At 39.2% G+C, this 24470-nt stretch overlaps 1 protein-coding gene across 3 annotated transcripts in view; it reads left to right on the forward strand.

Annotated features, from left to right (window-relative positions):
- Positions 1-16926, forward strand: part of PRDM6 (PR/SET domain 6) — a 105026-nt gene extending 88100 nt beyond the window's left edge. For 2 of the 3 annotated variants that reach the window (NM_001136239.4, XM_011543726.4), the window contains 2 exons: positions 2807-2983; positions 9747-16926. In NM_001136239.4, the coding sequence (NP_001129711.1) occupies positions 2807-2983; positions 9747-9861 (292 nt within the window). In that variant the 3' untranslated portion in view covers positions 9862-16926. The other variant, XR_001742346.2, reaches the window with a different exon arrangement.

Consider the following 24470-nt stretch of genomic DNA (forward strand, 5'->3'; position numbering starts at 1 on the left):
TAGGCTGAAAGAGACACTGTTATTATAGTGGCAGGTGAGGTACATCCTTCAGTTCTAAATTCTATACAGAATCAGCCTCTGCAAAGGTGTATGTGACCAAGTATTCTAAAATCTTATTTTTCAATGTACCTAAGAATGAAGGAATATTGCTTTGCTTTTAGAGATTAACTAAAACAAGGTTTGGTCCTATATTTTGGTACTAGATTTTCTTACTCTGAATTCTCAACTTTTTACCAATGCATTTAAATTTTCCATATTCCAATGAGCATGTACACACACACACAACCATAGAAAGCTCCATGTATAGGGAGCTGACTTGTAGACATGATGGAGAATAGAGATCATATTGGTGATGCTGTATCTTGGGAGGCAGTGTATTGTACAGATTTCCTGGGTCATGCACATTTGTCAATTACCTGAAAACAAGAACAAGCATGAGATGCAAGAGATCATCATCTTCAGTCCATTCCCCTTACCAGGCAGATGAGAAGACAGGTCAGGGAAGTTGAGTGGCTTGTCCAAATGCCACAGCTGATCAGAGTCAGGGGTCCTATCTCTCCCGTTCTAGCCCCTTCCATTCAGTCAACCTGAGTTCTGCGAAGTTTTAAAAACTGTGCCATAGGTCACTGCATCCCTAGCATATGCCTCTCAAGCCAGTGCCAGGCAAAGGTGATGTTTTAGAATCCGATTTGCCTTCCATTGGCGTTACTTTGATATAAGAATTCAACATAAGCCTCTCTGTGGTCATTTCTGTTCTCCTGTGTGTAAACCTTTACCACCGTGAACTATTAACATAAAAAGGATGGATTGACTTCTGACTGTGAGAAATAAATCACCCCAACTTTTGACAGCAGAGTTAGAAAAAAAAGAAAAGATTAATTGGTTTTATTTAGTGGCTTATTGTTTATTGTGATAGCCATTAAAAATAGATAACCAGAGGCTAATAAATGTTAATGGTCCCTTCACTATTAGAAAAATCAATTGTCAGTGAATATAGCATATATTAATATATTATTTTGTTTATAATCTTCAATAACAGTTTAGAAAATTCAACCCTGAGAGAATTATTTTTTCAGGAACCCTTTCAAGTTTAATGTTTGCCACAAAGAACAGATTCGGCAGGAGGACATTTTCATCTACATATAATTTTAATGGTTTTCAAAGGATTATTTTATGATTATAATAAAATGCATGTGTAATTTGGCAAGATTGATAAACTCCTTACCAAAGACTTTTTATATATTTCTTTGAAACTTGTTTGAGAGCAGTTAGATAGATTTCTAAATGTAAGTAATTAAAATTGTATAGTATTGAGTTATTGACCAATCCTTGGCTATTAGTCAAGCTAAAAAATTCTACAATCAGGGCTCAGTGTGCTGAAGCCTGGTAAAATAATAGTATTTGTGTTCAGTGAGGCAAGTGGCCACAATTAAGCAGTTCACTTGACAAATGAGAGGGTACACTTTATTTTGCACTTAATTGAATTGTTGTACATGCTCAGTCACCATTGTCTCCCGGCCCTTCATTTTGGTTTCTGGTCATTGGAGCTTGTGCATTTGTTAAAGGTTGAGCAATTAAGTCTGCTTTCACCATTGGTTTCTGAGTGCAGCCAGAAATGTCTGGCTCATAAGCCAGGGCTTAGTGAATGCTGTTAATATCCCTCACGACAGATTATTAATTATCTGAACAAAAATTTTGATAAACAAATTAGAATCCTGTCAAGGAATGATATGAAATAGCTTTGAATAGGGAAAACTCCCTGGGTTTTATATCACTCACCAGATTCTGCTTAAGTAAGCAGAAGAACTTCTGTAGAGAAGACAGAATTTTAATCTATTTTATGAAAACCAAAAATTGATTTACTTCTCGTGAGCTGGGAAGAATGTGCTCTGATAATCTTGCTAATTATCAGGTATTTGTCACCACTTCCTTCCATTTGCTTTTGCATCAGAATCATCCTTCTGCAAGCACAATGACATCCTATCATTTCTGTGCTGCTATAAATCATGCCTTGCTGCCAGATTCAACTGGGGAGGTGATGTTCAAGAGAAAGATCTAATGGATAAATATTTGGAGGAGGGAATAGTAGGTAGAAGTCAGGATATCTTTGACAAAGAGACACATCTGGGTGTACATCTGTGTTCATCTGTGCAATACCAGTGATTATGCTATAAGTCCACCACAGTTTAATATCCGTTAAAACACACATGTAACTTGCTGACTTGCCTGTGTGTTTACCTGGTACTTAGGATGAGGTCCAAACATCCTAGAACGGCCTTAGTATCAAGAGCTTGTGTCCCGGGAGGACAGTTTATCCTCAGTTTTCTGAACTAACAGAGATAATAGCAACTGCCTTCTCTGTCCCAGGGGATTATCATAAAGATTAAACTGGATAACTGATTTTAAAGCACTTTAAAAAGATGAAAGTGCTATGGAAGCACAAGAGACAATTATATATTTTCTCTTGTAACAGTCTGCTTAATGAAGTCTATACTTTCCCTACTTACAAAAGTACCCTAACATTTGCCTGGGGAAAGATAAAAATAAGAAAGTAGGGGTTTCCAAAATGGTATGATTAGTACTGGAAAGGGGTATTCATTCGGGAATTGATGTGTCTCAGCAGCTCTGTGAATTTTGTTCCTGTGGCAACAAGTAAAGTAGTGGGAATCCAGTGGCCAAAGCTCTATGCCCTGTCTTAGAAACTGAGAAAATGTCACCAATAAGTTTTGGCCCCTTGTCATATGATTCTGACTTCCACTGACCAACGCAGAAAACAATGACCAGACAGTCTGTTTATTTGTTTCAGACCCTACCAATGCGGCCACTGCTCCCAGTCCTTTTCCCAGCCTTCAGAACTGAGGAACCACGTGGTCACTCACTCTAGTGACCGGCCTTTCAAGTGCGGCTACTGTGGTCGTGCCTTTGCCGGGGCCACCACCCTCAACAACCACATCCGAACCCACACTGGAGAAAAGCCCTTCAAGTAAGTAGTGGCTAGCCCTCCACCCTCTCTTTCTCTTAGCCTTTCCCAAGAGCCAGCTGATGCATCAGCACAGTGCTGCCTGGCTTAGCCAGCTGGCACAGGCTACTTGGAAGGCCAGTGTCCAGGCTGCAAACGAATCTCTCCTTGTTTAGTGGCTGACATTTGAAAAATGAAGTCAGGAAACCTATGCACTGGTCCTAGCTCAAGTTGCCAACCTTGGTCGTGAGACAAATCTTCTGGGTCTGTTTTCTCATCATTAAAATAAAGAGGTAGGAGTAAATAATTTTAATATTTTTTTCAGTCCCTGATGATCTGTGCTTCTGGAATTTTATCTAGGAGCGACACAGAGCTCCTGTGGCCATCAGCAAGCCTTACGATCATCAGAAAGGTGACCACAAGTTTAGAACATCCGAATAATCCCCTTTTGGAGAACTTGAACCCTTCAGGATTCTGATGAAATATATCCTCCTCTTTCCTATGTGTTAAAGAGTTTGAACCTATTATAGCAGCCAACTTGTGACTTTTCAGTGTATACTTTGGACTTTAGAATTACCATGTTGGTGAAAAAAGAAAAACAAAACCAAACCCAGAGTACATTGACTTTTTGAGGATTCAGGGAATGTGGAAACAGATGGAATTGAATTCTAAGGGCTTTGGCAAGATAATGGCATCTGAGCAAGAGAGTGTGTTTCTACACATGGCACACTTATCCAAATGGTGGACATCTGAATCCGTGCAAGATGGTCTATTCATTCACTTATTCACTCATTCATTCATTTACTCATTCAGTTATGTATGTGTTCATTCATTCAGCTGGTATTTACCAAGTATGTACTTTTTTGCTAGGCACCCTGGTAGGTACAAGAGATACAAAGGTGAATGACATTTAGCTGTTCCTCCTTTTCTCCATCTTTGAAAACCTCATAGTCTAAGGGGAAGCCCAATTAGTAAACGTATTATAGGGTGAAAAGTACAACAGTAAGACATGTATGTATGATGTTTCACAGTAGCACAGAAATGGAGTAATCAATGCTATCTGGTGGAAATGATGTTTCAGATATGTTTTGAAGGATAAGTAGGAGATTTCTAGACATACGGGGCATGGGGGAAGGTATTTCTGGCCGTCCAAACAGCAGGTGGAAAGGCCTGAGAGTGTGAGTCAGCATGCATGGTTGATTGGTGTTCTCAGAGCAGTTTTTATGGTCTGTGTGATGAACTCTTTTCAGTTCAACCCTCTTACAGCTCTCTTCACTCATTTGCTCTACTGGCTTTTTCTGTTTGAGAAGGAGAATTAAAAGAGCATAGAGTTACCGCCTTATGTACCTTCTGTAGGACATGATCAAGCAAGAGAGGAAATGATTCAGGCAGTAGGAGACTAATCCCCCTGCTCAGTCTCAGCCAAGAAGTCTTCCCAGAGCCTCATTACCCAGGATTTTCCATCCAGACCTGCTGTCGTGGCGCACTTTGTGCTCAGCCTGAGGCCAGGCTCAGCTTGGGAAACAGAGTTCTCTGGTCTGGGTCCTGCCTTCCTCTCTGTCTGCCAGTGAAGGGAGAAGTTCATAAAAGATAGTCATTGTCCCTCTTCTCCTCAATAATTAGTTACTTTATTCAGCATTCTTAACTATTCTCCAACATAGTTTAATTTATGGTGTTAATAATCAAAATAGTGATAATTTTTGTTGCGGTACATAGGTGCAGCTTGTTCACTGCATAAGAGCATCTGGCTAAGTGGGCAGGATGGGGCCTAAAATCAAGTCTGTACTATGCCACCCATGCTGTGCCGCCTGAGGCTGCAATAGCCCAAAGAGGGCATCTTTTTCTAATCCACCCTAAGGAGCTGCATGGGCTACCACAGTCCTAGGAGTTCCCTATCACCAGTGCTTGTATCCTGCCTAGTGGACTTTGTCATTGCCCTCAGGCCTGAGCCCCGTAGGGTTCCTAGGTTCTGGCTTCACTGCTCTGGAGGAGGGTGTTGACAATGAGTGGCACGTTGCCTGTGCCTTTGAGCAAGAGAGCTTTTCAAAAGCAGAGATACAGGAGGGTTCAGGATCCTTCTGGCCCCTTATATTAGAAAGGGCAGCCAGACCAATACAGTGCCAGGAGTCAGATTGATTTTTATCTTGTTGCTGTGTAAATAGATTTTAGTAATTAATTGAAGCGGTTTCAGGGTCAAAATGGGAAATAGATTTCTATTAATGTTAAGGTGTTACTTATGTGTAACCTTGTTGACTTCACTCAATTTTTTTCCTTTAACATCTGTTTTTGTCATGTTTCCAATAGAGTTGCCATTTTAACTTAATTTTAATTCATCAGATTAATATTTGAAGGGCTTTGCTGATTGTATTTTTCCTTTTCCAAAAATATATGTTTTGATCATACCTACTTTCATCTGGAAAAAAAAGGAAACAACTAAGGTTGTTGGCTTAAATTCTGTGTATATGTTTTAGTTCTTTCTGTTCCTACTTTTATCTAGACAGCCACATGCTGTAGTTGTTTTTTTTTATTTTAATTTATCAAATAGATATTCCCAGGGGAGAGCTGAGTGTATGCTTATTTTGAAAGTGCAAGATTTAAACATCTTCTAGGAAATGGAAAGTTAAATCCTTTAGTGTATACAACCAGGTCTTTCAGAATTGATCTATCCCAAGGGAATTTTGGGAATCTTCCAACCATAGCTCATGGATATTCATCCCATGGACATTTGTAAATATTATGAAGATATCCTTTTACAAGCTTATAAAACAAACATTTTTAAAAACCTTTTTTTTGCAGATTAGTCAATAAAATGGGTTTCTCTACAACAGTTAATTTTACTACTTCAACTAATGGGTATTGGCTTACACAATGTTACAAAGAAGGAGAAGAATCTTGTAAAGGCACATAACCCTCAACTGTATGTCTTGGGGAGTTTCCAAATAGATGCCCCAGATGGCTCAGTCCCCAAATTGTCCCACCCATCCAGGGCTCAGGAGGCCTTTACAGAATTCTCAGGGTTGAGCTGAGATTAAGCTTGCCATGTCAGAGAAAGCCCTTTACAACTTCTAAAATCTTCTGCTGAGAAGTGGTTTTTGAAGGCATATCAAGATTACTGCCATCCAAAGAAGGCTGCAGAAGATTTGGCATGAAGAGGTCAGAGTTTCAATCCAGGCTTTGCCTCATATCTGATTGACTGAAATTCCACTGAAAGAATCCATCTCCCATGTTCTAGGTAGATGATGGGCCTGTCAGCAGCTACCCTAGGCCGTAGACTTAGGATTTCTAAGATAAAGGAGCATGTACGAAAAATAAAAATTGGAGGATCACATTGAAGGTCTTGGCTTTCAATTTGCTCTATGATACTGGAAGTCATGGAAAACAAGGAGCAAACGCAAGATATCATTTAACAGCAATGGCCAAGCATTTTATTGCAGGCAGGCAGGAAGGAAGGAAATAAAGAAGTTAGTTGGCAGTCTAAAAATTATTCTATGCAGCAAGGACTCCTTCCTCCTTCTTACTAAACAGTGTCTTGATATTTCAGTGGGCTGCCCTGCTGTGCCTGAGAGGATCTGTGTGAGCTGCCCGAAGCCTGGCTTTCTGAACCTGGGAAACTGAGAACAGGCCAGAATTTTCCTTAGGAGGGGTTCTTCATTATTGTTAGAAGCAAGGAGAATCATTCATCGCTATGTTCTTTCATCAAGAAAATGGAGTTTGGCTCATGATGAAAAAAATCAAAGGAAATTCCAAAGGACATCTAATATTTGAACAAGATCTAGGCAAAATTAAAGCAAATCCAAGAAGCAAATCAGTAAATATGCATTGAACACATCATACATACAAAGCCCTGTGCAATTTGGTTCAATTCAAAAAGTATTTTGTGGCATATCATAGAGGCACAGAAAGCTTGTTGCAGGTTTTCTGTGGTAACAGAACTTGACATCGCTTTGTTAAGCTCCTCGTACATATAATCCAGTCAACCATCATAGTAAGTAAAGAATGATCTCAAACTTTAGAGGTAATTAAGTCTAATTAAGATGCTCACAATGGTATAATAGAAACTCCTCACAATGAGGAGTTTCTTTTAGCTGAAATACTTAGTAGACTTTCCACTTCATTGTTCCTGAGATACTCCCGTCAAGGCTGTGGCATCAGCACCTATGCTAAGGGAAGGCACAACGAAGCCCCTGAGTGCAAGGGCGCTTTTCCCTCCTGACGCATTACCTGCATCTTTTCTTCCTTCTTACTCTGTTACACTGCACGAAGTCCAGGCTTAGAGATGCCCCTGCCAGTCAGTCATCAGGGACTGTAATTCAGGGTTAGTTTAGATGCCAACCAAGTGAAGTCTGGCTCTGACTTCTGTTGAGTCAGTTCTGTTGAGATGAGTTTCATTAAAGTATGAAAATATTTTGTGGAAGAGATTTCTCTAAAATGTAAGATAATGAACATAAAACTGAAGTCCTTCTCTTATTTTTAAAAAATATTTTTATATCTAGCTCTTACTTCCTCAAATATATAAATTGCATTCTTGTCATTCCCAGACAACATAGATATTATTTCTGGTAGCCTTCTTTCCTCAAGGAGAACTCCCTGAGAAAAGATTCTAAATTAAGGTAATTTCTACACGTTTGCTTGTATTTTTACTCACACTTGGTGTGCAGATGGCTCTAGAAATGATTTTTCTGGAATACTCTTCTTATGCACCCTATATATTGGACAAATTTTCTGACTATTACAACAAATTGTTCCATTTGTGTAAATATCTGCAGTGCATTTAGGCAAACACTTGAGAAAAATGTGTTTTTCTCTTAGTGTCTCCATCCAATCTGGATGTTAAAATATTACATATAGACATACACTTTTGCCTTATATGAAGCACTAAACTGCCAACTCGTGTATTCCTCATATTCTAATACACAAGATTAAAAATGCAAAACCATGACCCAGGCACATTTTCATTTCTCACAATTGTTCAAGCTATTCTACTCTCTTTGAAATTGATTCTAGAGCTTCAAGATAAAAAAAAGGAATATAATAATTTGAAAGTTTGTCAAGCAGTGAAAGGTAGTATATTTTGACACACTAATCCAGTAACTAATCAGTTTTCTAATAAACAATCAGCAGTTCGCTAACGTGTCATCAGCACTCCAGGAGCTCTGGAGAGGGGATGAGCTGCCCACGGACGTTAATGAATACACCAAAAATCATTAGGTGATCAATACTTCTGAGTTATTTTCATTGAGCTGATAGGTCTGATACATTAAAGCTGACATTATACATTTGTCAAGATCACAGTGCAGTTTTTAACAGTGGAACAGGCTGCTAAAAATATTCCCCGAAAGACAATCAAAGAAACACAAGTTCTTCCCCCTGACACACTCCGCTGGTGCAGGAGCCCTGAAAAATCCAAATGCGAAGTGAAGCTCCTGCCTCCCAATGTTCAAAAACATGCAAGAATTCCCAGAGTGGATTGATGTGTTCTATTTTATAGGTACTTATTTCCAAGACAGGGCACTTAATATAATTTACTGAAGAGGAGAAAGAGTGGAATGCCTAACAGATAACAGGGCTTGTGGCTTTCTTGTCTGTGATAAGGCAGGGAGACTATGTCATGGTGGCTTTTGCCACAGCTTTCATAGTGCAGGGGCTCACAAACTGGAGGTTGCATTATTTAAAAGTGGGACAATTGTCTGTAGCTCTTCTTGAATATCTTTTTCTTCAAAGGTTTGAGGAAAGGGCATTAGGGGTGGCTGAGGTGGCCTCTGAGCTGTATTAGATGCTGGGCCAGTGCTCTAGGCAGCCCAGGTAAGTAAGGTGGTGATGGAGAAGTCGCTGTCTGTGCCCAGCCAGCTGCCACAGTTCATCTGTGGGTGTGTGTATTTACACACACAATCACAATCAGCCAGGGACAACATCCACAGAAAAACAACAGGCTCCCACTAGATTTTGAATGTGTGTTCTGCTTTTTGTAGATTGAGTAGCCACCAAGCTAGTAAGTGAAGGTTGTTTGGAAGATATGGACATGGGAGATAGGGAGGAACTCAAAGTCTCTAGATTACAGTCTTTTTTTGTTGTTGTTTCTCATTTAAGTTAAAAAGAAGAGATAAATCTTGAAGTGTGACATTTTCTCCTCATCAGACACACTGCCCTTAATTCTAGCCCATAGGTACATCCTTTCCACTGTGCCACTGCAAATTCTAGTTTTATAAATTATTTTAACCCTAAGTTTGGTTAGGCTGTGACACTGTAACCAGCTTTTGCAAAAAAGCAGCGACCACGCCTACTGCCCCTCACAGTCACTGCAGTCTAACATATTGCTTCCTCTAGTTTCCAAATTCCAAGATGTACACTCTTTGGCTGCTGTTCTGAAGGGAGTAGAATTCCCAATTGTAAATTAGCAGTAGGTGAAATTCTATTTGTCATCAATTTCTCTTTGGGGTTACAGAGTAGAAAACTGCAGGCAAGCTGCTTCTTTGATGGCTCACTCCTAAAAATCTCTTTTTGTTCTTTATCTATTTGAACTGACAGTGATCAGAGCTGCAGCAGGACAGGGCTCTCTGGAGAAATCACCTTCCCCCTGCCTATTGACAGATCCCTCTGTTCTGCATCAGACGGGCTTTGTCCCATCACAGGCATCCAGGCCTTGGAAGGAGCCACCAATTAAACCTCTTGAGCTGGTAAAATCTGAAGCCACTTTGGAGTGTCTGTTCTGATTAGGCAGGATGAGAGGAAGCCCATCACCCTGCAGGCCCCGCTCCCTGGTCTCAATTTTCTCTCTTGCCTCCACCAGGTGCGAGAGGTGTGAGAGGAGCTTCACGCAGGCCACCCAGCTGAGCCGACACCAGCGGATGCCCAATGAGTGCAAGCCAATAACTGAGAGCCCAGAATCAATCGAAGTGGATTAACGGATTGACTGGTTGGAATTAAACTGCAAGGAAAGTCATGATTAAATGTCACGGACACTTAAGCAAAACCAAAGATTTCCTCTGAGCAACTTTCAATCAGTCCCAGAAAACCAAAAGCAGTAATAAAATAAGTAAGATGTTAAGAGATATTGATCCTGGCATGGAAGTCAGACCAGGAAAGAGATTATTTATTTATGACTTAGGGATGAGACTTATTTCAGTGGACAACTAACCTGGGATGGTTAACATTTCCAGTCCCACCATGTATTTTGCTTTGTTTCTAAAAAGCTTTTTAAAAACTGTTATTTAATACCAAAGGGAGGAATCGTATGGGTTCTTCTGCCCACCGTTGTGACTAAGAATGCACAGGGACTTGGTTCTCGTTGCACCTTTTTTTAGTAACATGTTTCATGGGGACCCACTGTACAGCCCTTCATTCTGCTGTGTCAGTTTGGCCTGGCCTGACACTGGCTGCCCCAGCGGGGACCACGGAAGCAGAGTGAGAGCCTTCGCTGAGTCAATGCTACCTTCAGCCCCAGACGCATCCCATTTCCATGTCTTCCATGCTCACTGCTCATGCACTTTTTACACGGTTTCTTCCAAACAGCCCGGTCTTGATGCAGGAGAGTCTGGAAAAGGAAGAAAATGGTTTCAGTTTCAAAATTCAAAGGAAAAAGTTGAGGACTTATTTTGTCCTGTCAAGATTGCAAGAACATGTAAAATGTACGGAGCTTCATAATACGTTATATTGTTCCGAAGCAGCTCGTTGAGAAACATTTGTTTTCAATAACATTTTAGCTTAAAAAAAAAAAAAGAAAATGAAAATAAAGTTCTTTGGTTTAAGGCTGGAGATAAGGTGTTAGGCTTCATTGTAATTTTTTTAGTTGTTTCTGTGAAAGTGTTGAACATGTGAACAAAAATAGTGCCAAACCCCATCGTCAAGGCCCTTTTAGCAATTTTATCTTTCTTCCTCTTGCAGATGAACCCCAGGAGCCCCCTTTCCTCTCTCCTGAGTGTGGGAGGAGCATGTCTACAAACACAAGTGAAAATAGCCCAGACAAGGAGACTTTGAGAGGAGGAACCATGGAGAAGGTTGTGGTTAGAACAGATAGCCCAGGAGCAGCTAATTTTATCAATAGGATTACTTTGTCTTTTCTTGAGATTGATTAATTGAAAGAGAAGGAATTCTCCACACAATTTCACTATTCTTTGAGTGCTGAGAATGTGAGTTTAATTTCAGCTAGCCTGTTGGTGGTTCAACAGTGGTGCTCAATGAAATTGGGTCACATTTAATGAAATGATCTAGTTTTGGGAAGAGCTGATAGCTCCCAGCAGCATCTCAGCGACTGTCTACCTTGATGGCCAGTTTAGATAAAAACTGTTCAGTTTTATCTAGAGTGTTTAATAACAACAGTTTCTGTTTGTAAATTTCATCATCACCTGATATCAGGACACAGTCTTTTAAGGAACTCCTTGTCTTTGAGCTTTCCCATTGTCTTCCCTCAATAAAAATGAGACACATAACTGAACTCACTACTAAAAGGCAAGGATACTGTGTGGTTTAGTTTAATCTATTATTATGTATCTGGCTCTGAGAAAATCTCTCTTCCCTTTTAATTTTGCTTCTCTATTCCTTAGCACCCCAGCTACCACATTTTAAATGGAATTCAACAGGGTCTAATTAATAAGTGTTTACAGTTATTATTTATATACGTATATATACATATATACACATAATAATAATCTCTAGAACCCTGGGCCATAAAGAAAAAAATGGCTAATTCTGACCTCTGTTGCCCAATCTCAAGCCATTCACCTAGAATTTTCCTCCAGTTCTTACTATCTCCTGGTCATGAAAGTAGTAAGGAATCTATGCTGCTGTATAACAGTAGCTGATTGAAACTATTCTCTCTGGTAGTTAGGAATGTGTTCTGATTTTACAATTCCCTGCCCTAAGTGATGGATACGTTTGCAAACAATGTGCGTCACTGGGAAGTGTGAATGAAATGTAGCCATATTAACCTGAAACCTGCAAGAAAAGGACAGATCAGCTTCACAGATGAGTAAGCTGTTCCATTTGTTAAGGTTGAAAGATTTACTCAAACTTTTTGAAAACAACAGTAGGGAATCACCTGTATATTTCTAATTTTTTTTTTCATTTGAAAAATCAGCTCAGCCATTTGCCACATTTCACAGTGGAACACCATGTACTACTCAGTTCTCATGAGCTTCAGAACGTGGGAGAATGAGAAGGCTTCCCTCCTCCCTTGATGTCTGGCATGGGAAGGTTTTCCTTAACAATGATCTCTCTGCCACCCTGATAGCTTTGCTAGCTGATCCCAAACTTCCACTGAATGTGGCAGTAACCTGTACTCCAAAACACTCTTCTAGTGTTCTGCTCCATTTAAATCTATTTTTATCCTCTATTATTAAGAGAAATTGTTGGCATATATATTCCACCAAATTTGGTCAGAAAATATTTTCTGCCTAACAAATAGAAAATTGGATACTCTAATTTTCCAGGCATGTGGGCACATTCACAATTTTTACATTGCTGTCCTATTGCCAGCTTCTAGCAGACCAGCCTAGGCTGTCTGTCCACAAAGACAGGCTTACACCTGGACATTGACTTGGAACCCTGAAGCAGGTACTGAGATCATTTGGGTCCAAAATGATTTTAATCTAAGTGTATGCTGGGGAGGAGGTTTCTCTTTGAAACTTCCTAACAATTGCTTTAGCCTTTTCTATTTAAAGTGGACACACAGTCCCCTGGGATACAGCAAATGGGTGGTAGAAATTGCAGTCGTAAAATTTGCCAGTTTTTCTTATTAGTAACTTCCTAATTAGTAGTGCTATAAAGAGAGTAAATGCTCTGAATCACTGGGGAAAGGATATTTAAGATAAGAAAGGTAGTCTGTCAGAGCTGAATCAGGGTTTGGCTCTTGAAGCAATCCTTCTTTACTCTTTTCTTTCAATGGGGATAAAATAATAATAATTTTTTCAGAATAAGACTTTTCATCCTAGCGTATGTTCCTTTATTTAGCAGAGTCTAAGACGAAAGGTAATGCCAGGGAAAAGTCAGGGTGCAATAGGATGAGAGATGGAGCTGCAGACCTTTGCATTTCTAGAAAAATCTCAATATCCCAAGGCAAAGTTGTATTTTCCCCAGGATATGTGCATACATTTTTCATAGATAAGCTTTTCATTTTTGTTTTGTTTTTATCTTTAAAAATGACTTTTTTGGAGGAGATATACTTCTAAAAAGTTATTGTATGGCTAATTAAAGCTATGAAACTTAATCTCATATAATTTATATAATTTGATTCAGTTGGTACATTTTTTATTGTGTTCATTTAAATGTAGCCTTCTTGGGAAACTATGTATAACAGGAAAAGATCATGACATCATTGTGTCCTCATAGGGCTCATAATTGAATTTTACCTTGTAAAAATTTCATTCTGGTTCAGGTATGCAAAGATTTATACGAACATTTAGCAGTTCATCAATTTTTAAATCAGATGTTCATTGTTTCATTCATTTATTCAACAAGTATTTATTGAACTCTTATTTTATATAAAGACCCCATTTTATGTGTTCACCATAAGCAGCATTATTTAAGTGACTATTCATGATAAAATAATATTCTCCTCCTAAGTGGCTGCTAGTAAAATGGGTATTTTAGTCCTTTAGACCATTGTCTCAGTGAAGTTAAAGATTTTGTTCCAACTGGGAAAATCTGAGAGAGGTAAATTCATCTGGGGACCAGAAAATAGCATATTGCAAAACAAGTTAAGATGCACAACTTGGTTGTCTTTGCTTAACTCACTGGGCTATTGGTTGTTAGCAGCAGTATCAAGAGACCAGGATTAGGGCCTGGGTCTTGGGTTTTTATGACCCCCCCTTTCAATGATAAGGCAACAAGTTGGGTACAAGGCTGGAGTTGCTCAGGGAAGGAGATCTGCGACCCTGAATGGGTCAGAGTTGCCTCATTAGTGGTAAGCGTTGGCAGTGTAGTCCCTTTCCCCGGTGTGCAGAAGTAACATTATTTGTTTTGCACTAATTTAAAATTTAAAATGCAAGTATCTATTGAGTTGTTTAAAATGGGAATCATGGCACGTCTCACAAAGAGGGCATTTCCAGAACAGCAGGGTTAACGGGTCCCTCTGAGTGTACCCAGCAGCCTGCGTTTAGGAGCAAATTCATTGCTCTCATATTAAGGCTATGCATGCCTACAGAAACCAGGCCAGGAATAAGAAATAAATAATCACATTTCCTGAAATGTTTATCTGTTTCTTCCTTGACATGAATTTAATTTTTATTTCCCAGAGTCTTTACTAGATCCTGACATCAGATTTTAAAAGATACTGAGATATATGCTTCTTTAAATGATAACTGTAAGTTCCAGAAATGTTATTCACTTGTCAGGATCCTTTTAAGGTGAAGAGCTTTGGAAAATTTTATGCGCTAACTAGATACCTGGGTGATCATCAACCCAAAGTTTAAAGTTCTCCCCTCACTAGCATTTATCTGAACTACCACAAAACAACAACGCAGGTTACTAGGAAGGCACCTATTTCAGCCCTCCCCAAGATTGCATTCTACAAACCCAGAGATCAGCTGTCAGGTACAACTGGCCAGACAGAGCCAAACTGAAAAGAATATTGCTTTATCTGTGGAAACCTTGCCACAGATGTTTAACCTGTAGTCCATGGCTGTGTTTGACATTTAAAATATTTATTTAGTTTCTTCCTTTAAATAATAAATGCCAGATGTTTCATCAGATCAATATGTAAAACGATAACAAAAAATATGTCGGAAACAGGTCAAAGTCATGAAACATTTGAATTGTCTTTCCTATAGACTGAATATGCCACCACTGCACTTAGAAAACCTATGGAGGAAATTTTAATGGAAAAATAAGGACATTCTGCGCTTATTCCCACAGAGGTTGATGGGAATGATGATGATTATAAATTATATTGTGCAATTACTGCCATGCCTTGTTCTAATGCTTAATGTGGATTATCTCTTTTAATCCTTAGTAACTCTATAACAAAGATACTATCATTATCCCCTTCTCATATATGCTTAACAGTTTTAGCTTTGTAGCTTCTTTAGTTTTTTTCCTCCTTCAAAGCCATAAACAGGCAATTGTTAAAAGAGGAAAATACTTCTCTATGTAAAGCTTTTTTTTGAGAACAAGAGCTTTTAAAAATTAATAAACACAAGTATAATTTATTTATAAAATGTGTTTGTGGAAACAATACTGAAGTGCTATTAAAACACGTATCATTATAGATGCTGATTTTGTCATGCCCAAATCTCATTGCTGGACAGAATTTCAACTATTCCATTGCTGTCAGGCATTGTTTTTGTTTTTCTAAGCAGGAATCTAAAATTCCACATTGAAAGAAAAAAAAATAACCCTCTCAAGTGTGATATACATTAGGACAAATGGCAACAGGCAGGAAGGGCAGGTTGTGTTGGAGGGTGGCCAGAAGAGAATAAGGTTCGAACACTATCGACAGGTAAAAACACATCCTCAACGGGGCTAAGTGAAATCTCGTTTTCTTTCTTTGTTCTGACTGAATGCTAAGTGAGTTACTTTCCAGGCATCAATGGAGTCATTACGCAGTTGTGTGCATTAAGAATATGGGCTTATGTTGTTAGCCTGTTGGTTTAAAGCAGTGCAGCAGAAAGACTGGAGTCATTATAGGTTTGGTTTGTCAAAGGCACAGATAGTGTAGTTACATGCATGAGGTACTCAAGGAACCAGTTCAAGTTCTGGGGCACAATCTAGATGAAACTGTGAGGTTTGTTCAAAAAGTAAGTGTACAAAATTTCATCATGAACTGGCTTTATTACAACTCTTTACCGTGGTTTATTGAAACCACAATGTATACTACTTTCCTCCAGATTCTGATTCTAATGGGCACATTTGTTTGTTGAAATGATAAATATATTTTCCTTGTCAAACATGGTGGGTCCTGGTTGATATCTCCTGTTTCCTGCCTTGAAAAACATCCTTGTTGGTGCCTTTCTCCCACTTTGGTACATCACTCCCAACTGAAAACAGTCTAGATATAAACTTTAACAAGCTGGAGATCTATTTCTACAGCACAACTCTTTCATGTTTAAAAGCAATTATGCCGTATCAGGTGATTGCCACATGTTGGGGAAAGCAGCCATCTTAGAGCAAAAGTCTGCCAACCCACAGTCCCTGTTGATCCACATGTGGGCATTGTCTAATGTTAACAAAATCAGCACTTGTAGACTTACTTTCTCTGAACAATCTAGTACACTTCTCTAGTTTCTCCCAACCTGGAGAAAATGTATAGCAAAAGCCAGAGGCAAAATTATTCTCCTTAGCAGTTCTAAGTATTTCATGAAAAAGCCTTCCCCCAGTTTAAATGCAGAGGCTAAGGTGATGACTAACGAATTAAGGAAAACTTTGGCTCAGATCAGCAAAATTATTTTGGAAACTTAATGTCCCAAGTTAATTATTTTTTTTATATCAAGGGGAAGACATCCAGTTCTGTAGGATGCTAATAGAAGTGTGATATTTAGATGCTATTAGGACATTGTATACATTTCTTTAATGTGGTTATTTTAAGTTTAGGACTGTAAATGTTCCCTACTGGAATAGAAATATGTCTCTCTCCAACTTTCCACCAAATAAAATGGTTAGAGTGAATGCCCAGTTTCACATCTGCCTTTTGGAGTTTGGAAAGCTTAAACAAGTCAGTTAAGAGAATGAGAAGAATCTCACTGTGGGTGATAAGGAGTGTGTAGTTTGCTGTAAGGGCCACTGATATGACAAGAATGATTATCCCACAGTAAGAATGGGTAAAACTTAATAAAGTTTTCTAACTTTATTAAACTCACATTATTTAATGAAAAAATAACTGCAAAGGACCAATGAGATCATGCATGCTGCTGTATTCTTGTGATGGAATCTACCAGGATTAAGTTGTATTTAAATGAAAAAACAGGTACACATTTAGAGATCATTGACCAAGAAATGTAAATATATTTGATTAATAAAACGTTTTTATGATGACTCGATCTTCCCTTGGATTCTGTCTTTTCCAGTCCCACAGTCATTTTTCAAGCACCATCTGATTCTAGTGTGCAGCTTAGGTAGTAGGCAGTCAACAAACTCTTGTTGGGGAAGTATAAGCTAGAAAATACACCTAGCAAGCAGGAAGGTTGTTAAAATTCAGCCCTGAGGTTTATTCGGATGCATTTGAGATTACTGTTTTCCTTATTCATGTGCTCACATGCTCATTTGCCCAACCAAGTCAGGTGCACAGCTTCTTAAGGAAACTGTGCGCAGAGACCCAGCCACAAATCTGTGGCAGGCTGGACTTGATATTTGACCTCTAACCCCATAAGCTTTGGAGCACAGCAGAAAGCACTTGCCCGGAGAGTGGCCTGGGGCTATGACTCTTCTGAATGTATGTGATTGGGGGCTCTCAGAAAGAAAGCCAAAGTCAGCTGTTTGTCTCTTGTTCTGTTGGAAAATAAAATTTCACTTAGAAAAAATATGTGAGCATGTAGGAATAGCAAGAAGGACACTGATGCTGGAGTGGATTGAAAGAGGTGGAAATTGCAGGAGGTAAGGTCAAAGAGTCAAAGTGGGCTGGACCATATAGAGCCTTGAATACCATTGTGAGAACTTGGCATTTCCTCTGCGTGAGGTGGGAAAATCTCATTTTGAGCGGAGGCAGGATGTTATCTGACCTAAAGTGATAATTTTTGCTTCTCTGTTGAGAATAGATTGTGGGAGAACACAGACTGAAGACAGGAGATGTTTAAGAGGAGATTTCAACGCAGCTGAGAGATAGATGATGGTACCTTCCTCTAGGGCAGTAATGGTGAAGGTGGCAGGAAGTAGTTAAATTCTGGATATAATTTGAAAATTGAACAGTATTTGCTGATGGGTTGGATGCTGGATATTAGATAAAGAGAGAAATCAGGGATCACTCTAAGACTTTTTGGTCTAAGCAACTGAAAAGGTGGAGATTTTAGATTTGGGAGTTTACACTCCATTTTGCGTTACTCGTCCTTTTCCATAAGTACCAGGACTATTCCAGTATAATAAATGTGCAAATGATAGTGCATACCAGGCGGCTATCTTACAAAACTGTTGACTGTCCCAGAGTAGCCAGGCTTAGCACCATGCCCCACCTGGAACAAAAAGCTGAATCTCATCTTGCTGTTTCCACTGTAGCACAGGGTTATTCCATTGCCCAAGAATGGCATGCCTGTGTTTCTTGAGAAAAAATATTACATCAGAAGTGAAGATATACTTTTGAAATGGTGGCACTCTCCATCCACGGGGCACCTGAGCCTCATTCTGGAAATTTTTTAAGGACAGGGTGCTCTGGGAATATACATGGACTCTTTACCGTGTCTAGCTTATTTCTTTGCTTACGCTGTAGGCTCAGTGTGGAAGGCAGTGCCAATCACAGGGGTGATTGGTGGTTTTCAGCCTCTTGGATGGGACGATTCTGAGCACCTTTAATGAGACATCTTGTCTATACACAACTAATGTTTGCCATTCATCCATCCATTCATACATCCTCTTGACAAAGAGTTTCAAAAATCTATGTGCTAAAGTGCTTATATACAAAAATGAATAGGACTTGGTGGGTTACAAAATCTGGATGGGAGAGAAAGACATGTAATCAAGTAAACTATAGAGGTTGTAAGTAGCTATACAGGAACCAGTGGGGACAGAATTGAGTGAGTAGTCAGTTCTCCCTGGAGGGAGGAGGTCTGGTAAATCCAAGGAGTTGCTTTCTGAGATGTGAGTTGAAATGAACAGAGACAAGTGTTTGAATCCCCTACTAAACAGCAACCATAAGGTACGGTTCACGTGGGCTCATTTGGAAGATCTGCCAACTATGTTGATGTCTATCCAGTGTGCCCTTCCCTGGGACATTTGTCTCACATGTGAATCAAAGGTTTTTCTGTTATTGTACACACACACACACACACACACACACACATATAATTGTTGTTATTCCTGTGTGAATAATACTATTGCACATGGAAACTAAAGAATCTTCCAAAGGTCAACAGCAAACATGGTTCATGGCATTGAGCCAACTTGTGGATATTCTTACCTTTTTGAGGTAATGGACTTCTTCGGGAATGTGATTTTAAAATAGACTGCTCCACAGAAAAGTTTCAGAAACACGCCGAACTTTTTATTGAATTTCAAGGAGGGGTGGCTGCACTCCAAGACCCCTAAATCTAAGATCTTGTATTCGGAATGGTGCTTTTCAATAGTCAATTATAGCTTCAAAAGACTGAGCAGAGATGAAAATAAAAGACCCCTAGTAGATAGTAAAAACAGATGTATTTCTTGATGACTCTAAATAACAAGGAAGAACAGAGAGTTGATTGGCTCACTCTCAAAGCTAGGGAGGCAAGGGACTTAGGAAGCAGAAGCTTCTCTCCCTATTTATGGTTTAGTATGATCCTATAGACACCCAGAAAGAAAACCAGCCTAATCAACCTATTAGTGAGATCACCTTGTTATCATTTATAAGGGTAGCTCATGGCCAGGCAGAGATTTTCCCCGCTTGTTATCATCCGAGATTATTCCCTTTTCCTATCCTCAAGTTAAAAACAAATGTGTATATAGAAATTATGCATGACATGTGCCCAATTGTAAGGAGATACTAATTATTTGGAATCCCAGTTATAACCAAAATTAGTTATTTGACAAATATCAGGTAAAACAGAACATTTAATCCCAAACTTCTCATGCAATAAAGAGTAATCTTACAGGGTCTTTCTTCCAGTTTTCCCTGCTCTCAGGTAGCACACACACACACACACACACACACACACACACACATACACACAACACACACACACATACAAGAAATATTAATAATTGTTTTATTTTTAACCTCTGTAATAAGAGAATTTCAAGCTTCCATTACTTATATGCTCTTGTGAGTTTTTACCATCTTTGCCATTTGCAGTGGGTTGAATGGTGCCCTATGCCCACAAGATAATTCACAGAACTGTGAATTTGACCTTATTTTGAAAAAGGGTTCTTGAAGATGTAATTAAATTAAGGATTTTGAACTCATCTTGGATTATCCAAGTGGGTCCTAAATCCAATGACAACGGGTCTTTAGAAGACACAGAAGAAGAGAAGGCATACCGAGGGGAAGTCCACGGATAGAGGCAGAGATTGGAGCTATGCATCCACAAGCCAAGGAATGCCTGGAGCCACCAGAAACTGAAAGGGAAGAAAAGATTATTCCCTAGAGCGTTTGGAGGGAGGATTGCCTTGCTCACACCTTGATTTCAGATCCCTGAAGCCTCCAGAACTGTGAGATAATAAATTTCTGTCATTTCGGTTATTTGTCATGACAGCCCTAGAAAACTAATACACCATTATAGTTCATAACCCAACATCTTGCAAATAAGAAATGGGTAATAGTTAAATTTTGATCAAATTCACTTTTAGGAAATTCTCTTCATCAAGATAATTTGATTTCCTCTTACTCTTATTGGTCAATAAGGCTTGGCATGTTGCTTTTGCAACACAGAATGATAACACTCTCTAATGACAACTGTTCTTAAATATGACTGCAAGTACTTGGATTTTATGGAATCTGTGTACCACTGACCTCAGGGCAAAGCTCTTTTTGCAAACTCATTTTCATTCACTTGATAACTTTTATTTTATTTTTGCGACAGAGTCTCACTCTGTTGCCCAGGCGGGAAGCACAGTGGCAGATCTCGGCTCACTGTAACCTCTACCTCCCAGGTTCAAGTGATTTTCCTGCCTCAGCCTCCAAAATACCTGGGATTACAGGCATGGGCCACGATGTCCAGCTAATTTTTGTGTTTTTAGTAGAGATGGAGTTTCGCCATGTTGGCCAGGCTGGTCTCAAACTCCTGACCTCAAGTGATCCACCCACCTCAGCCTCCCAAAGTGCTGGGATTACAGGCGTGAGCCATGGCGGCTGGCCATTCATTACTTTTTTTAATCAGTTCAGGCTGCTATAACAAAATGTCATGGACTGTGTGGCTTAAACAGTGGACATTTATGTCTCACAGTTCTGGAGGCTGGAAAGTCCAAGATCAAGGTGTTGGCAGTCGGTTCCTGGTGAGAGCATGCTTTCTAAGTTGCAGATGACCACTTTCTCACCCCACCTGTAAACTGGGGCTTCAACATACAAATTTTGGGGGCACAAAACATTCAGTCCATAACACTGACAATTACTTGATTTTTAAAGTTTTACTCTTTGCAGAGCATATAATGGCAGAGAGCATACATGTAGCACACCGATTTTAGGCATATATTTAAAAGAGTTATACATTTTAAAATAAAAAATAAAACATTTAAAAATTAGTCATAATTTTTTTCATGTAAACTATAGGAATGATAGTGTCTGTAAACTTTCCCCAAATTATCTTCCTGAAAAGGCATTTGGTCATTCGGTTTCATGATAGATAGCTTGAGCTGTAGGTCTGTTTCTTCATCTTGTCAGTTTCTTTTCTTTTTCTTTATTTCCTTTCATTCAAAACCCTTAATCCCCAATTGTAAGTTATTGGCAATGGCAACAGCTATTAATCGCTCTGTGAGAGTTGTTGACATTCAGGTTAAACACGAACCCAAGAATTAAGGAGAATTTTCGCACTGAAAGTTACTGTCAGCACTCTGTTGGACTCTAACCTGAAGAACTCTCATTTCAATTTGAGAGTTAAAAGCAAGTGATTTCCTAATCTACTCTAGTTGTATATGGCTAGAGAAGGTACTTCTTCCTATTCTGTTGTAGCATTTGTTTATTGTTTTAACATGTCCAATAATACAGCATTGTGTCTTTTTCCCTCCAACAAACGATAAAAATGATCAAGTACCAGATAAGTTTGGCAGTTAGACATTTGCATTCCAGTTTGGGCTTATTAAGGAATTATGGTTTCAACTTAAAAATTACAATATCTTAGCATTGATTATAGAATCAGAGTGTTCTCAACTGTTTGACAACCACAGAGCTCATTGTGAGCAGTCCATATAAATACAGCCCACTAATGTTAGGTACACTTTAAAAAATGCATCACTGGGATATTAAATCTTGGGATGAGGGTGTAACATTTTGAATCATGGACATGTCCTTCTATTTTGTCCCTCTTTGTAGTCATTTCCTTTGCCATGTAAGCTTGTAGTTTGGGTCACTAAAGAGGTGGAGTCTATTTTCCCACACCTCAAATATGGGCCAATTTTGGCTTGTTTGGCCAATAGAATGTGGCGGCAGTGACAATATGCTGGTTTTGAGCCTAGGCCTTGAGGTTTTGCATGTTTCTGCTGGCTCTTTTGCACCTCTTTCATTGCCATGAGAACATGCCTAGGGTAGTCAGCTGGAGGAGGAGAGACATTTGGAACTGAGCCAAGTTGCCTCAGTAGCCCCAGCTGATCACCAGCCAACGCCTAAATGTATATGAGCCCAGCCAAATTCAACAGTGCTACCAAGCTAATCCCCAAATGATTCCAGCTGCATGAGCGATATGTAAATTGTGCTTGCCACAGAGTTTTTGTGATCCTTTGTTGCCTGGAATAACTATGGCAATAGATCATCAATACCATAGCCAACAGAGCTTGGCGTGGAGAACCAGCATGCTTGTATTCGCCATTGCCTTTTTATACGGCTCATGCAAAAGACAGTCAGTGGCTGTGAGTTGATTATGTTTACAGTTTTCATTGTTTCCTTCAACATTTAATTAAGTTTTGGAGGCACATTTTTGGCCACCTACTGTTCTTTGTGAATGAAGCTAGATATGGATTGATACTTAAGGACAATTATCTTACTCTTATTCTTGCTGCATGCGTAGCTAGTGCCCCTTCAATACTCAAACTAACTCATCTTTCCATCTATATCATAGCTCATAAAATAATTATTAACAAAATCTCTTCTGTAGTATGTTCTCTCACTGTTTTTGTTTGTTTGTTTGTTTGTTTTTGAGACTGAATCTTGCTCCGTTGTCCAGGCTGGAGTGCAGTGGCACAATCTCGGCTCACTGCAACCTCTGCCTCCCAGGTTCAAGAAATTCTTTTGCTTCAGCCTCCCAAGTAGCTGGGATTACAGGTGCGTGCCACCATGCCTGGCTAATTTTTGGATTTTAGTGGAGACCAGGTTTCACCATGTTCACCAGGCTTGTCTCAAACTCCTGACCTCAAGTGATCCACCCGCCTTGGCCTCCCAAAGTGCTGGGATTACAGGCATGAACCACTGTGCCTGGCCTGCTCTCACTATTGATTAGAAGAAAAAGTCATCACATTTCTCCCCAATCTGTATTACATATATGTTGAATTTGTATACTGTATAGCAGTGGTTTTGTCCAACTGCAAGGTGAAATATCTTCACACATGTTTTGTTTACTTACTTGACAAACATTTATATAGCCGGTACCTTGTGCCAGGCACTGTCCTAAGTGCTTTACAGTATCGATTTACTTAGTCCTCTTAGCAGCTCTAGGTAGGTACTATTATTATCCCTATTTTACACATGGGGAAACTGAGGCATAGAGACGTTAAGTATCTTGCCCAAGTTCATATTGCTAGCAAGTGGTAGAGTTGGGATGTGGATTTAGGCACTCTGAAGTCCACTCCACAGTCCGTGTTTTCCATCACTGCACGTGATAGTAATTGCTCCTCCACACTTCATGTCATTGTTATGACGTGAAACCCATGATACCATTTGAAAAGGGAGCTTCTCCAGTAGCTTGTTCTGCTTTCTTGCCAACACAATATCCATCAGTAAGTATTTAGCTGGCTCTAGAGGCTTATTGGCAATGACGTGACTTGTTTTGCTGTAGAGAAGGACACTTTAAATGACAGCTCTGTACTTTGGTCTCACCTATGCCTTGGCAGCACAATTTGTATTCCAATTTTTACTGGAAAGTATTATTTTGCACTTGTTTCAGAAAAACTCTGTTGGTTTATCAGGAAGGTTGTTATGCTGTGTTTAAAAATAAGGGGAAAGCTTGAGTTACTTCATGACCCTATATGAGAAAGATTCATAACAGAAAATGCACTAGAGACAAGGGGTGAATGCATGAATAATCTTATAAAATCTATTGGATTTACTTGTCCCAGTCTGTCTCTCTGTCTGTCTGTCTATCTATCTATCTATCTATCTATCTATCTATCTATCTATCTACCTATCTCTCATATATCTATCTATATATAGAGAGAGGTAAAATATTTATACTTGAGTTTTGGTGATCATTTGCATTTACATTACCCTGAGTCGTATGTTTTTACTACTATTTTATTACTTTTTTTGCATTTCAGTATACTCCCTTGGGGTGTGTGTGTGTGTGTGTGTGTGTGTGTGTGTGTGTGTGTTTGAATTGGGAATAAAATAACACAAAATTGAGAGGCAGCAGAGAGTTAAAGTTTATGGATTTAAGCCAGATTGCCTGGAGTCAAATTCCAAATTCGGCAGTTGATCTCTCCCTGACACAGTTTTCTCATCTATAAAATGGAGATAATAATAATAATAATACCTACCTCATGAGAGGTAGGTATTAATTTTGAAAATTAAATGTGTTCACTTGAAACAAGTATATCTGGT

Source organism: Homo sapiens, chromosome 5 (assembly GCF_000001405.40).
Source record: "Homo sapiens chromosome 5, GRCh38.p14 Primary Assembly".
NCBI classification, from domain to species: Eukaryota; Metazoa; Chordata; class Mammalia; order Primates; family Hominidae; genus Homo; species Homo sapiens.